The 13,602-nt window shown below is 50.1% G+C and overlaps 1 protein-coding gene across 1 annotated transcript; it reads left to right on the top strand.

Annotated features, from left to right (window-relative positions):
• The first annotated feature begins 2,972 nt into the window (after positions 1–2,972).
• ACTL9 (actin like 9) lies at positions 2,973–4,368 on the top strand. The gene has a single exon (NM_178525.5). The coding sequence runs from the start codon at positions 3,067–3,069 to the stop codon at positions 4,315–4,317; it is 1,251 nt and encodes a 416-aa protein (NP_848620.3). The 5' UTR covers positions 2,973–3,066; the 3' UTR covers positions 4,318–4,368.
• The last annotated feature ends 9,234 nt before the right edge of the window (positions 4,369–13,602 follow it).

Raw genomic sequence — 13,602 nt, 5'->3', positions numbered from 1 at the left:
TGTGAACCACTGACCTAAACACTAGAAAACAATAACTTGCCCATCCTCATAGCTGCACTTTGAAGGTGGCACTATTATTACTCCCATTTTGCAAATGGGGATACTGAGTCACAGTTAGTAGTTTGCCTCAGCTATTAAGCAGAGGAGTCAGGGCTTAAATTCCAGAAGCCTGGCCCCGGATCTGTGGCCTTAGGCACATCATGGCTTTGTTGCCTATAATCACGATATTTTCCTATATTGTTGCTTCAGTATCTCAGAAGCTAGCATCTATTAAGTGCCAGACAAGGTATCCTCATTTTATCCAAGAAGAGAGGAAATGGAGGCTCACAGAGTCCCAACCTTTGTTTCTGTTCTATTTTTAGTGGGTTTTTCTTGTTTGTTTGTATGTTTGTTTGTTTGTTTGTTCCTTGAGACAGGGTCTCGCTCTGTCACCCAGGCTGGGTGCAGTGGTGTGATCTTGGCTCACTGCAGCCTCCAACTCCTGGGCTCAGGTGATCCTCCCACCTCAGCATCCCTAGTATCTCGGACTACAGATGTGAGCCACCATGCCTGGCTGTTTTGGGTGGATCTTAGATTTCACAATTTCCCAGACTCACAGTCAGCCACTGAAGTAAGTCAAAGATGTAGGCTCAACTCCTGCCTCTGTCTCATACCAGTTGTGACTTTGAACAATCACTTGACCTCTCTGAGCTTCTTTTCCATCAAAAAAATAGACATAGTACCCATTCCTAAGTCATAAAGTTGCCATAAGAAGTTGCCATGTTTTAAAATCAGAAAATGAAGAAAGGCCAGGCATGGTGGCTAATCCCTGTCATCCCAGCACTTTGGGAGGTTAAGACAGGAGGATCACTTGAGCCCAGGAGCTCAAGATCAGCCTGGGCAACATAGCAAGACCCCATTTCTACAAAAAATTAAAAACTTATCCGGAGATAGTAGCACATGCCTATAGTCCCAGCTACTTTGGAGGCTGAAGTGGGAGGATTGCTTGAGACCACGAGGTTAAGGAGGCTGCAGTGAGCAGTGATTGCACCACTACACTCCAGCCTGGACAATATAGCAAGACCCAGTCTCAAAAAAAAATTGAAAACAATAAAGTGTTATCACTTAGTGTATTTCTGGTTGTTGTGAACAGTCCAAAAAACAGACCCTCAATAAATTGCTGAGTAAATATTTCCAAAAGCATGGATTAGACCACACATACCAGTAAATCAATAATTAATTAAAATGCTCAATAAACCACACTCTGGCAGAGTAATAAATCTAGACACAACTAGAAAATTAAACCTCTTTCATTTAGATATCCCATAAGACATTCACTAGCACTATTCCTGGTGATTTCTACCACCACATGCATGAACATACACTAAGAAAAACGTTTTTATTTGCTTTAACTAACAGGTGATATCTGATATCACCAAAAACAGCCATGGTCTTGAAGCAACTCTCCTAATGCATTTTGAAGCCTGCTATTTATTGTTGAGATAATTCCTTCCTCCCAAATGCACCCTCTCCCCTTTTATCTATACTGAAACCCCTTCTTGTATCTCACTGAGCCCCTCTCCTGCCAGGAGGAAGCAGGTAACAACCCCTGGAGAGAAGGCAGACTTCCCCCATCCCTCATCTAGTTGGAGTACAGAGTAGAAATCAGGGTTGGCTTCCAGGAGGAGGTGGCATCAGACTGAGATTTGAAGAGGCAAATTCCTTCTTGGCAGGAATGGGACAGGGAGAATGATTCAGGCAGTGAATATAGCAGAGGAAGCAAAGAATCTAGGACAGGGGTGTTCCTGTCTCTCCCTGCCTCTCTCCATCCCCAACCAAGGCTGGCCTCTGTCTCCATTTGGAAACCAGGAAGCCATGCTAGCCCGCCCCACCTTCTAATTAATATTCTGAGGAGGAATATTCTAATATTCTAGGGAGGCCTGTGGCAAGCTCTCTGCCACTAGGCTGTAAATAGCTTCATGGCGAGGTACCCAGAGGAGGATTCCTGGGTCTTCCTGAAAGCGTGGCCCAAAGAGTTAGAGAAACCAATTTTGCATGTTTTTAGTGAAACCATGCCCCAAAGAAATGTTTGAGCTTGCAGAATGGCAGATCAAAAAAGAAACAACTTGCTGAAATGCCTTCCACTTATGAGGGTTTTTTGTTTGTTTCTTTGTTTGTTTGTTTGTTTGTTTTGAGATGAGTCTCGCTCTGTCATACAGGCTGGAGTGCAGTAGCATGATCTTGGCTCGCTGCAACCTCCACCTCCCGGGTTCAAGAGATTCTCCTGCCTCAGCCTCCCTAGTAGCTGGGACTACAGGCATGTGCCACCATGCCTGGCTAATTTTTTTTCTTTTATTTTCTTTTTCTTTTGAGACAGAGTCTCACTCCATCCCCCAGCCTGGAGTGCGGTGGCATGATCTTGGTTCACTTCAACCTCCACCTCCTGGGTTCAAGTGATTCTCCTGCCTCAGCCTCCCCAGTAGCTGGGACCACAGGCATGCGCCACCATGCCAGGCTAATTTTTGTATTTTTTGGTAGAGACGGGTTTCACCATGTTGGCCAGGCTGGTCTCGAACTCCTGACCTCAGGTGATCTCCCACCTCGGTCTCCCAAAGTGCTGGGATTACAGGTGTGAGCCACAGCCCCCGGCCCCAGAACTTTTCTAATAAAATTACTGCCTTAAAGCCAGCTGAGAAACAGACTTGTGCTGGATTCCTAGCTCCCAGTGGGTTGACATGCAACAAAAAGCTTGTCTTTTCTCAAAAACCAGGTGCCATCGTATTAGCTTCTAGCGCATCCGACAGAAATGTGTTAAGAGGGCCCTGCTCTGAGATGCTCATCTCCTCCTCCAAATTTGGCTCTTCAGAGAAGAGATGACAGCCTTTGGGCAGGCAGGGCTGGGCAGGGACCCATCCTCTTGGCTGCATTGTGATGTCTTAAGAAGACTGAAGGGGCACCGTGACGTCATAGATTGCGGGCCCACCCCTCCCCCTGTCTGCCTGCCCTCCCCACTGGCCGGGCCTCAACCTCTTCTCCCCGCAACCCCAACCCCAGAGGAAAAGCCCCCTCACCTGGCGTCCCGCAACCATGGATGCAAGTCGCCCCAAGTCCTCGGAATCCCAGTCCTCCCTGGAGGCCCCCAGGCCCGGCCCAAACCCCAGTCCCAACGTGGTGAACAAGCCCCTGCAGCGGGACTCCCCCGGCATGGTGGCCGACAGGCTGCCACCAAAGACCGGCGCGGTGGTTATTGACATGGGCACAGGCACCTGTAAGGTAGGTTTTGCTGGGCAGGCCAGCCCCACCTACACCGTGGCCACCATCCTGGGCTGCCAGCCCAAGAAACCCGCCACCTCGGGGCAGTCCGGGCTGCAGACGTTCATCGGCGAGGCAGCCCGCGTGCTCCCAGAGCTGACGCTGGTGCAACCCCTGCGCAGCGGCATCGTCGTGGACTGGGATGCCGCCGAGCTCATCTGGCGCCACCTGCTGGAGCACGACCTCCGAGTGGCCACCCACGACCACCCGCTGCTGTTCTCCGACCCACCCTTCAGCCCGGCCACCAACCGCGAGAAGCTAGTGGAGGTGGCCTTCGAGTCGCTGCGCTCCCCAGCCATGTACGTGGCATCGCAGTCGGTGCTGTCTGTCTACGCCCACGGTCGTGTCAGCGGGCTGGTGGTGGACACGGGACACGGGGTCACCTACACAGTGCCCGTCTTCCAGGGCTACAACCTGCTCCACGCCACGGAGCGTCTGGACCTGGCGGGCAACAACCTGACCGCCTTCCTGGCGGAGATGCTGCTCCAGGCCGGCCTGCCCCTGGGACAGCAGGACCTGGACCTAGTGGAGAACATTAAGCACCACTATTGCTACGTGGCCTCCGACTTCCAGAAGGAGCAGGCCCGGCCGGAGCAGGAGTACAAGCGGACTCTGAAGCTGCCCGATGGGCGCACGGTCACCCTGGGCAAGGAGCTGTTCCAGTGTCCGGAGCTGCTGTTCAACCCCCCAGAGGTCCCGGGGCTGTCACCCGTCGGCCTCTCCACCATGGCCAAGCAGAGTCTCCGCAAGTTGTCACTGGAGATGCGCGCGGACTTGGCCCAAAACGTGCTTCTCTGCGGTGGGTCCTCGCTCTTCACCGGCTTCGAGGGTCGCTTCCGGGCAGAGCTGCTGCGCGCTCTGCCAGCCGAGACCCACGTGGTGGTGGCTGCCCAGCCCACCAGGAATTTCTCCGTATGGATCGGGGGCTCCATCCTGGCCTCCCTGCGCGCCTTCCAGTCCTGCTGGGTCCTGCGGGAGCAGTACGAGGAACAGGGTCCCTATATCGTGTACCGCAAATGCTACTGACCAGGGCAGAGCTGGGGAGGGCGTGGGGGCAGTAAAGCCTCTGCTACAGCCGGCTCTGTCCTGTCCTTCCTCCAGGGCCTGCCCCATCCACTCCTGGGCACCTCGCCCCACAGGCTGACCTAACTCACCTCCTGTGATGCATGCCCTGAGACACCCCAATCCTGACCCCCTAAACCCACCTTCCCCATGAATAACTCCCAACAGACCACTAAGTTCTAATCCTGTCAACCCATCCTCCTGTGATCTGTGCCCCTCCCCAGGCACCCTTGGGTTGGGACACCCCCTCCCCAGACCACCTCTGACAAGTGCCCTTCCCATTTACACACTCCCAGAGATGGGGAGTTCACTACCTCAAGGCTATTGTTAGAAATATCACCTCCTCCTATGAGTCATAGATAAGCCTCCACCTGGCACCTGCCCCCAACCCCAAACATGAAGAACATGAAAGCCTCTGACCACCCACCCCATGCCCACACACACCCCTAGGGTCTGCCACATACCCAAGCCACATACCCAATTCCTTCCATTTCTAGTTTAAGTGATTCATGCATTGATCCCACATACATTCATTAATTACCCACTATGTGCCCAAGACATCCTCAAATACTGACTCCCTAATCTCACCCCATTATCTATTGCTTTTGATATAGCATCCCAAAATACCCCTGGGCTCCAAACCCTCCAAACTGCCACCCCCCTTAGTATGCTCCTCAGGGACCCCCCAACCCAGTCTCTACCCCGGAATGCTCCAACCTCCTCCCAGAATCTTCCCGTGAGTGCTCCAACCCCTGGGTGCACCCCCATAATCTTCCCCTTATTTCTAATCCCCCCAAACACACTCTTAAATTCCACTTGTCAAGATTCCACTTGTCAAGATACCCCTGGTTCTCAGCACCCCAAATCCACCTCTTCATTGGTTTCCCCTAGGATGCCCCCCACAAGTGCTGACCCCCCAGATCCATCACAGAGACCTGAATTCTGACTTTCAAGGGTTTCTCCTACAATGGTCCCACCATGGGATGCCCCTGGCATCCATCATCCCTGCAGAACTCTCCCCTCCCCTCAGGATTTTTCCCCCAGACCTCCCCTGGCCCCACCTCCACTGACCAGGTGGTCCCATCACCCATCCCCCATCCATCTTCCCAAAACACATCATTCTGAGATCCACCCCCGAAACCCCAGGGTGGACCCCTGTTGCTCTAAGACCACTTTCTTGCACTGTGTCTCCGCCCGAAATACTCCCAAATGTTCTCTCTCACAGGACACTTCCTGACCCTCTTCCTCAGCCCCCAGCTCCTCCCAGGAAAGAGCCAGCCTCCCAAATGTCATGCTCAGGTCCCCATGAGCATCCTATAACGACCCCACTAGACCCTAGGCCCTCCTCTGTGTTCCAACACCTCCCAACTCCCTCCTCCACAGACTCTCCCAAAGATACCCTCCCAGGCACCCCATGATGTGCACCCCGCCCTGGAACTCTCACAGGCTCTCCGGAACCCACTCCCCAAGACCATTCCCTGGACACCATACTATCAAGCAAGACTTGGACATCAGTGGGTAGTGATACTCTTAAGGGCTTCCCAGTCCACTGCAGTCATGGGGCAGATGCCCCAGGCAAGGAGCTTCACCTGGACACTGGCTCTCTCACTCGCCCCAGCACAGGCACCCAGGGCCCATGTGTCCCAGGCTATGCATCCCCATCTCCCTCCATTCCATTAAAAGTCCATCTCTCAGCCTGTTCCTCTCAGTCCCATGAGCTTTCTCTGGGTTGTGCACTGAGGATGCTCGAGGAGGCCTCTCCCACCCCACCCTGTCCCTGCCAGGGTCGGGAGGGGGAATCCAGCCTCTCAGGATGGCGAGCGTCCTGGGTCCCCTCTGGAGGTAGGACCCTCTGTCTTCATGCCCCCTAGCCCAGCCTGAAGGACATCCGGACCTCCAGCCAGCAGTCTGGACACAACCCCCAGTTTATCAACACAGTAGACAGGAGCTGCTGGAGGTTATCCATGTCTGTGTCAAGTCCTCTTTTTGCTCAGCCCAAGAAATCATTCATTCACTCATTCATTCATTCTTTCAGCCAGTCACTATTTAAGGAGCATCACTCACAGGATCTGTAGGCTCCTGCTGTGTCTTTCTGTGCATTGCTAACTTTTCAGGAGTTTTGTGCTCAGTTGCTGTGTTTGTTTGTTTGTTTGTTTGTTTGTTTGTTTGTTTGTTTTTGAGACAGGGTCTCGCTCTGTCACCCCATCTGGAGTGCAGCCGCATGATCATGACTCGCTGCAGCCTCAGCCTCCCCCAGCTCAGGTGATCCTCCCACCTCAGCCTCCCGAATAGCTGGGACTGCAGGTGCATGCCACCACATCTGGCTAATTTTTTGTATTTTTAGTAGAGATGGGGTTTCACCATGTTGCTCAGGCTGGTCTCCAATTCCTGGGCTCAAGCGATCCATCCACCCCTGCCTCCCAAAGTGCTGGGATTCCAGGCGTGAGCCACCACACCTGGCCTCACTTGATGTGTTTCTTTCTCCCTAAACCAGCGTGTGTGTCTCTGTCTCTACCTGCCTCTCTCTCTCTCTCTCTCTCTCTCTCTCTCTCTCTCTCTCTTCCTCTCCGTCTGACTCACCTGCAAGAACCATGCTTATGGATGGAATTTTCCAGAGTGGAAATGCATTTATCTGTGGAGCAGTGAGGCGACCTCCCCTACCCTCCAAGTCAGCCGTGAGAAACTCCCCACCCACCCTGTCCCACTGTGTCCTGGAGAGTAGGCTGTGGCTCCAGGCTCACCCTGGGTTAGTGTGAGATCCTCAGCTCAGGGGTGGGGGGCCCCCACTGACAGGCCAAGATCTCCAGATCACAAATATTCAGGGTTGGACCCGCTCTGACCCAGCCGGGCTCTCCCCAAGGTAGACTCAACCTATAGAATGCACAGAATCCCCTACCAGGAGGTCATGGGGTGTTGAGGAGACATTTCTTCTCCTCCACACCAGGGGGCAGCACCTCCAAGCTCAAGGGCATGGAATTCAGAACGTTGATGCCTGGAGCAAGCCAGACACCCAGACCCCAAGTGAGACCCACTCCAAGCTCCAGCCACAAGGCACAGAAGGTATGTGAGACAGGCTGAGTCTCAGATACCACAGGAAGTGAGGGAGATGCAGAAACCCTGTCACCCCTGGGCTCCTGGGAAACCCAATGAATCCTCATTTAGAGCAGACTGAGGTTCCCTGTTCCCTCAGCTCCAGACCTTCCCTGGGGCAGAATTTTCCTCTACAACTCTCTGGACAAGTGCTTTTCCCATTTACACAGTCCCAGAGATGGGGAGCTCACTACCTCAAAGCTGTTGTTAGAAATCTCACCTCCTCCTATGACTGATAGGTAAGCCTCCACCTGCCATCCGCCCCTAACCCTGAGCACCAAGAACTCAAGACCCCGACCACCGCCCCCTCCATGCCCACACACACCCCCAGGGTCTGCCACCATACTTGGCTAATCTTTTTTATTTTTAGTAGATATGAGATCTGGCCATGTTGTCCAGGCTGGTCTTGAACTCCTGAGCTCAAGTGATCCTCTCACCTCAGCCTCCCAGTTCCCCAATTTCCTCTTGCCTCAGCCTCCCGGGTCCCCGATTTCTTCAATTTTGATTTAAGTCATTCATACATTGATCCCACAAACATTCATTGATCACCCACTATGTGCCCAGTACTGCTCCAAAATGTAAGGAAACCACAGCAAACAAGAAATGGGGCCAGGCATGGTGGCTCACACCTGTAATGCCAGCACTTCGAAAAGCTAAGGCGAGAGGATTGCTTGAGCTCAGGAGTTCAAGACCAGCCTGGGCAGCATAGCCAGATCTCATCTCACTAAAAATCAAAAAGACTAGCCAAGCATGGTGGCACCTTAGTCCCAGCCACTTGGCAAAGGTGGGAGGATCACTTGCACTCAGGAGTTTAAGGCCAGCCTGGGAAACACAACCAGACCTCATCTCTACTAAAAATCCAAAAAATTCGGCAGGGCGCAGTGACTCACGCCTATAATCCCAGCACTGTGGGAGGCTGAGGCAGATGGATCACCTGAGGCCAGGAGTTCGAAACCAGCCTGGCCAACGTGGTGAAACCCCGTCTTTACTAAAAATACAAAAATTAACCAGGCGTGGTGACAGCTGTCTGTAATCCCAGCTGCTCAGGAGGCTGAGGCACAATAATTGCTTAAACCTGGGAGGTGGAGGTTGCAGTGAGCCAAGATCACGTCACTGCACTCCAGCCTGGGTGACAGAGCGAGAGTCTGTCTCAAAAAAAAAAAAAATAGCCAAGCGTGGTGGCGCCTTAGTCCCAGCTACTTGGCAGAGGTGGGAGGCTCCCTTGAGCCCAGGAGTTCGAGGCTGCAGTGAGCTGTGTTTGTGCCACTGCACTGCAGCCTGGGCAACAGAGCAAGACCTTGTCTCAAAGAAAAGAAAAATAAATGATGTGTCTGCCCACCGGATCCTCCTTGAAGGGTTTAACTTGAGAAGGCAGATTCGTCACTTCACTTGTATAGACATGTTTCTTCCATCACGAACTTTCAACTGGTTCATATCTGTTTTGCACACCGATTCACAAGTCCTTTCCTTCTCAATGCCCCTGGAGCCATCCACCTCTCTCTATCCTTTTGATCCCAGCCCAGGGATCAGCTGAATGACTGAAGGCGCCTCCTCCTTGGTGTCCCAGTCACCTTCTCAGAAGATCCTTGTATGCATAGGGCTTTTGCAAAACACAGAACATGTTATTCCCTGCTAAGAACATCCTAGTCGCTTGCCTGCCTGCCTTCCTTCCTTCCTTCCCTCATTCCTTTCTTCCTTCCTTCCCTCATTCCTTTCTTCCTTCCTTCCCTCATTCCTTTCTTCCTTCCTTCCCTCATTCCTTTCTTCCTTCCTTCTTTTCTTTTCTTTTCTTTTTTTCTTTTCTGAAACAGGGTCTCATTCTGTTACCCAGGCTAGAGTGCAGTGACTCAGTCATAGCTGACTGTAACCTTGAACTTCTGGGCTTAAGTAATCCTCTTACCTCAGCCTCTGGAGTAGCTGGGACTACAGGTGTGTACTACCACAACCAGCTATTTTTTAAGTTTTTTTGTAGAGATGAGGTCCCACTATGTTGCCCAGGCTCTTGTCAAACTCCTGGGCTCAATCTTCCTGCTTCGGCCTCCCAGAGTGCTGGGATTACAGGCATGATCCACCATGCTCAGCCAGCCTATGCCTTTTCATTTCGTGCAAATAAACCAAGTTCTTCCTATGGCCCTGAATCCTCTGCTGATCTCTCTAAACCTCTCCTTGGCATCCCTCCTAATCCCCTTTACCTCCAGCCACACTGCCTGCCTTTCTCTTCCAGTTATGGGATGCACTATGTCCCGCCAAAATTCATATGTTGAAAGCCCAACCCCCAGTACCTGAGAATGGGACTGTATTTGGAGATTAGAACTTTCAAGTAATAATTAAGTGAAAATGAGGTCTTCAGGGTGCAGCCTCATCCAGTATGACTGATTGGACATCAGAAGAGATTGGGGCCAGGCATGATAGCTCATGCCTATAATCCCAGCACTTTCAGAGGCTGAGATGGGCGGATCACTTGAAGTCAGGAGTTCAAGACCAGCCTGGCCAACATAGTGAAACCCCATCTCTATTAAAAATATAGAAAAAATTAGCCAGGAGTTGTGGCACATGCCTGTAATCCCAGCTACTCTGGAGGCTGAGGCTAGAGAATCACTTGAACCCAGGAGGCGGAGATTGCAGTGAGCCGAGATTGTGCCACTGCACTCCAGCCTGGGGGACAGAATGAGACTCCATCTCGAAAGAAAGAAAGAGTGACAGAATGAGACTCCATCAAGAAAGAAAGTGAAAGAAAGAAAGAAAGAAGAAAGAAAGAAAGAAAGAAAGAAAGAAAGAAAAGAGGGAGGGAGGGAGGGAGGAAGGAGAGAGAAAGAAATGAAAGAAGGGATAAAGGAAGGAAGGAGAAAGAAAGAAAGAGAGACAGAAAGGGAAGAGGGAGGGAGGGAAGGAATGGAAGGAAGGGAGGGAAGGAGGAAGGAGAGAGAGAAAGAAAGAAAAGAAGGAAGGAAGAAAGGAAGGAAGGAAACAGAAAGAGAGAGAGAAAGGAAAGAAGGAAGGAAGAAAGGAAGGAAGGAAACAGAAAGAAAGAGACAGGGAGAAAGGAAGGAAGGAAGAGAGAGAGAAAGAAAGGAAAGAAAGAAAGAAAGAAAGAAAAAGAAAAGAAAGAGAGAGAAAGAATAGATTGGGACATAGACACACACAGAGGGACAAACATGTGAAGACACGGAGAAGACAGTCATCTACAAGGAGAGAGGCCTCAGAAGGAATCAACCCTGCTGACACCTTGAACTTGGACTTCCAGCCCCCAGAACTGTAAGGCTATACATTTCTGTTGTTTAAGCCACCCAGTCTGGGATACTTTACAGCCTGAACAAACGAACGCAAACTTTGATACCAAGAATTGTTCTAAAGTTAGTTAAAAATAACAGCTATAACCACGTGACCAGTTACAGAAATGAAGACTGTAGCTGTCACCAATATGTCTTCCTTAACTTGCTATGAATATGTTTACATGTATATAAAATACCTTTGTCTTATCCCTTCTCTTATCATGTAACATAAGGTTTATTAGGCCAGGCATGGTGACTCGTGCCTGTAATCCCAGCACTTAGGGAGGCTGAGGTGGGAGGATCACTTGAGCCCAGGAGTTGGAGACCAGCCTAGGCAACATAGTGAGATCCTATCTCTACCAAAATAAAAATATTAGCCAGATGTGATGGTGTGCACCTGTAGTCCCAGCTACTCAAGAGGCTGAGGCGGGAGGATTGCTTGAGCCCAGGACTTGGAGGCTATGGTGAGCTATAATCATACCACTGCACTCCAGCTTGTGTGACAGAGAAAGATCCTGGGAAGAAAGGAAAAGAAAAGAAAAGAAGAAAAGAAAATAAAAGGGGAATCTCAGATCCTACTCAAGACCCACTGAGTCATTTTAACAAAATCCACACGGGATTCCTCAGCACATTAAAGTTTGAAAAGCGGCCAGGCATGGTGGCTCACACCTGTAATCCCAGCACTTTGGGAGCCCAAGGCAGGTGGATCGCTTGAGGTCAGGAGTTCGAATCCAGCCTGGCCAACATGGCGAAACCCCATCTCTATTAAAAAGAAAAATTAGCTGGGTGTGGTGGCAGGTGCCTGTAGTCCCAGCTACCCAGGAAGCTAAGGCAAAAGAATCTCTTGAACCCGGGAAGTGGAAGTTGCAATGAACTGAAATAGCACCACTGCACTCCAGGCTGGGTAACAGAGTGAGACTCTGTCTAAAAAAAATAAATAAATAAGGTTTGAAAAGCACTGAAAAAAATTGAAATAAAAAATAAATTAATCTCAATCTCTCTCTCCCATCTTATCAAAGGTAGCCCCACAAATCTCAGCTGCCACAAAAGAAATGATTACAACAGTTGACTTTGTGTAAACACCCCCAAAAACTCCGCAAGGTAAAAATCACCCTCATCAAAGTCAAAAGACAAATGACCACTTAAAAATAATAAATAGGTCGGGGCGGTGGCTCCCGCCTATAATCCCAGCACTTTGGGAGGCCGAGGTGGGTGGATCACAAGGTCAGGAGTTCGAGACCAGCCTGGCCAACATGGTGAAACCTTGTCTCTACTAAAAATACAAAAATTAGCCAGGTGTGGTGGTAGGCGCCTGTAATCCCAGCTACTCAGGAGGCTGAGGCAGGAGAATCTCTTGAACCCAGGAGGCGGAGGTTGCAGTGAGCTGAGATCAAGCCATTGCACTCCAGCCTGGGTGACACAGCAAGACTCTGTCTCAAAAATAATAATAATAATAATAAATAATAATTTGTAATGACAAATGGAAAAAAATACTTGAAACTCATAACACAAAGGAATAATGTCTGTCATATATAAAGAGCTCTCAGAAAGAATCAATAGGAAAAATACCTCAAGGGTCCGTGAAAAAGTTAGCAAAGGATATGAACACACAGCTCATTAAGAAAGACGGACAAACGGTTCTTAGACACAGGAGAAGATGCTCAATTTCATAAGGGAAATGAACACTACACCTATACTGCGATGTCGTTTTTAACCCATCAGATTGGCGATCAAAAGATTTGATAATACTCACCGTTGGTGAGACTCTGGGGAAACTAGTACTGTTTTGCCTTGAAAGTGGGGAGGGAAATTGGTACAACCCTATACAGGACATATTCCAGCCGCAAACACCTGGCCCAGCTATGGCACTTCCAGGAACCTCTCCTTCTGATACAATCAACTTTTACGCGAAATGACGTCAATGCAGTTATCCATCATCCGTGACGCGGCGCTTTCTGGCCGCAAAACACTGGAAACAAGACACGCGACCATCCAGACAAACCGATTAAATAAATTGTATTCCAACAGAAGAGAAATACTACACGGGTTTTAAAAGAAATGAGCAAGCTGTGTTCTGACATGGAGTGATCCCCAAGATATAGTTTGGGAAAAAAGAAAGCCCAGAACAGTATGTTATCATTAACATAAAAAGAGGAATAAAAGGAGATGTGGGCATTTGCTTTAAAATGTCTAGAACATTCTGAGGTTTGGAGCAAGTTTTTTTTGTTGTTGTTTTTGTTTGTTTGTTTGTTTTTGAGACGGAGTCTCGCTCTGTCACCCAGGTTGGAGTGCAGTGGCGCGATCTCTGCTCACTGCAAGCTCCGCCTCCCGGGTTCACGCCATTCTCCTGCCTCAGCCTCCCGAGTAGCTGGGATTATAGGCTCCCAACACCACGCCCGGCTAATTTTTTGTATTTTTAGTAGAGACGGGGTCTCACCATGTTAGGCAGGATGGTCTCGATCTCCTGACCTCATGACACACCCGCCTCGGCCTCCCAAAGTGCTGGGATTACAGGCGTGATCCATCACGCCCAGCCTGGAGCAAGATTTAAAAAAAAAAAAAAAGAAAGAAAAGAAAAGAAGAAAGAAAGAGAGAGAGAGAGAAAGAAAGAAAAGAAAGAAAGGAAGAAAGAAAAAAGAAAGAAAGAAAGAAGGAAAGAAAGTCTAGAATAGATCAGACACAGTGGCTCACACCTGTAATCCCAGCATTTTGGGAGGCAGAAGCCAGAAGACTGCTTGAGGCCAGGAGTTCGAGACCAGCCTGGGCAACATAGTGGGACCTCAGTCTCTACAAAAATACAAAAATTAGCCGGGGGTGGTGGTGCACCTCTGTAATCCCAGCTACTCAGGGGTTTGTGGCAGGAGGATGGCTCGAGCCCAGGAGTTTG

Source organism: Homo sapiens, chromosome 19 (genome assembly GCF_000001405.40).
Source record: "Homo sapiens chromosome 19, GRCh38.p14 Primary Assembly".
Lineage (NCBI taxonomy): Eukaryota > Metazoa > Chordata > Mammalia > Primates > Hominidae > Homo > Homo sapiens.
The sequence above is the reverse complement of the archived record's forward strand: the minus strand, read 5'-3'. Positions and strand labels throughout refer to the sequence as shown.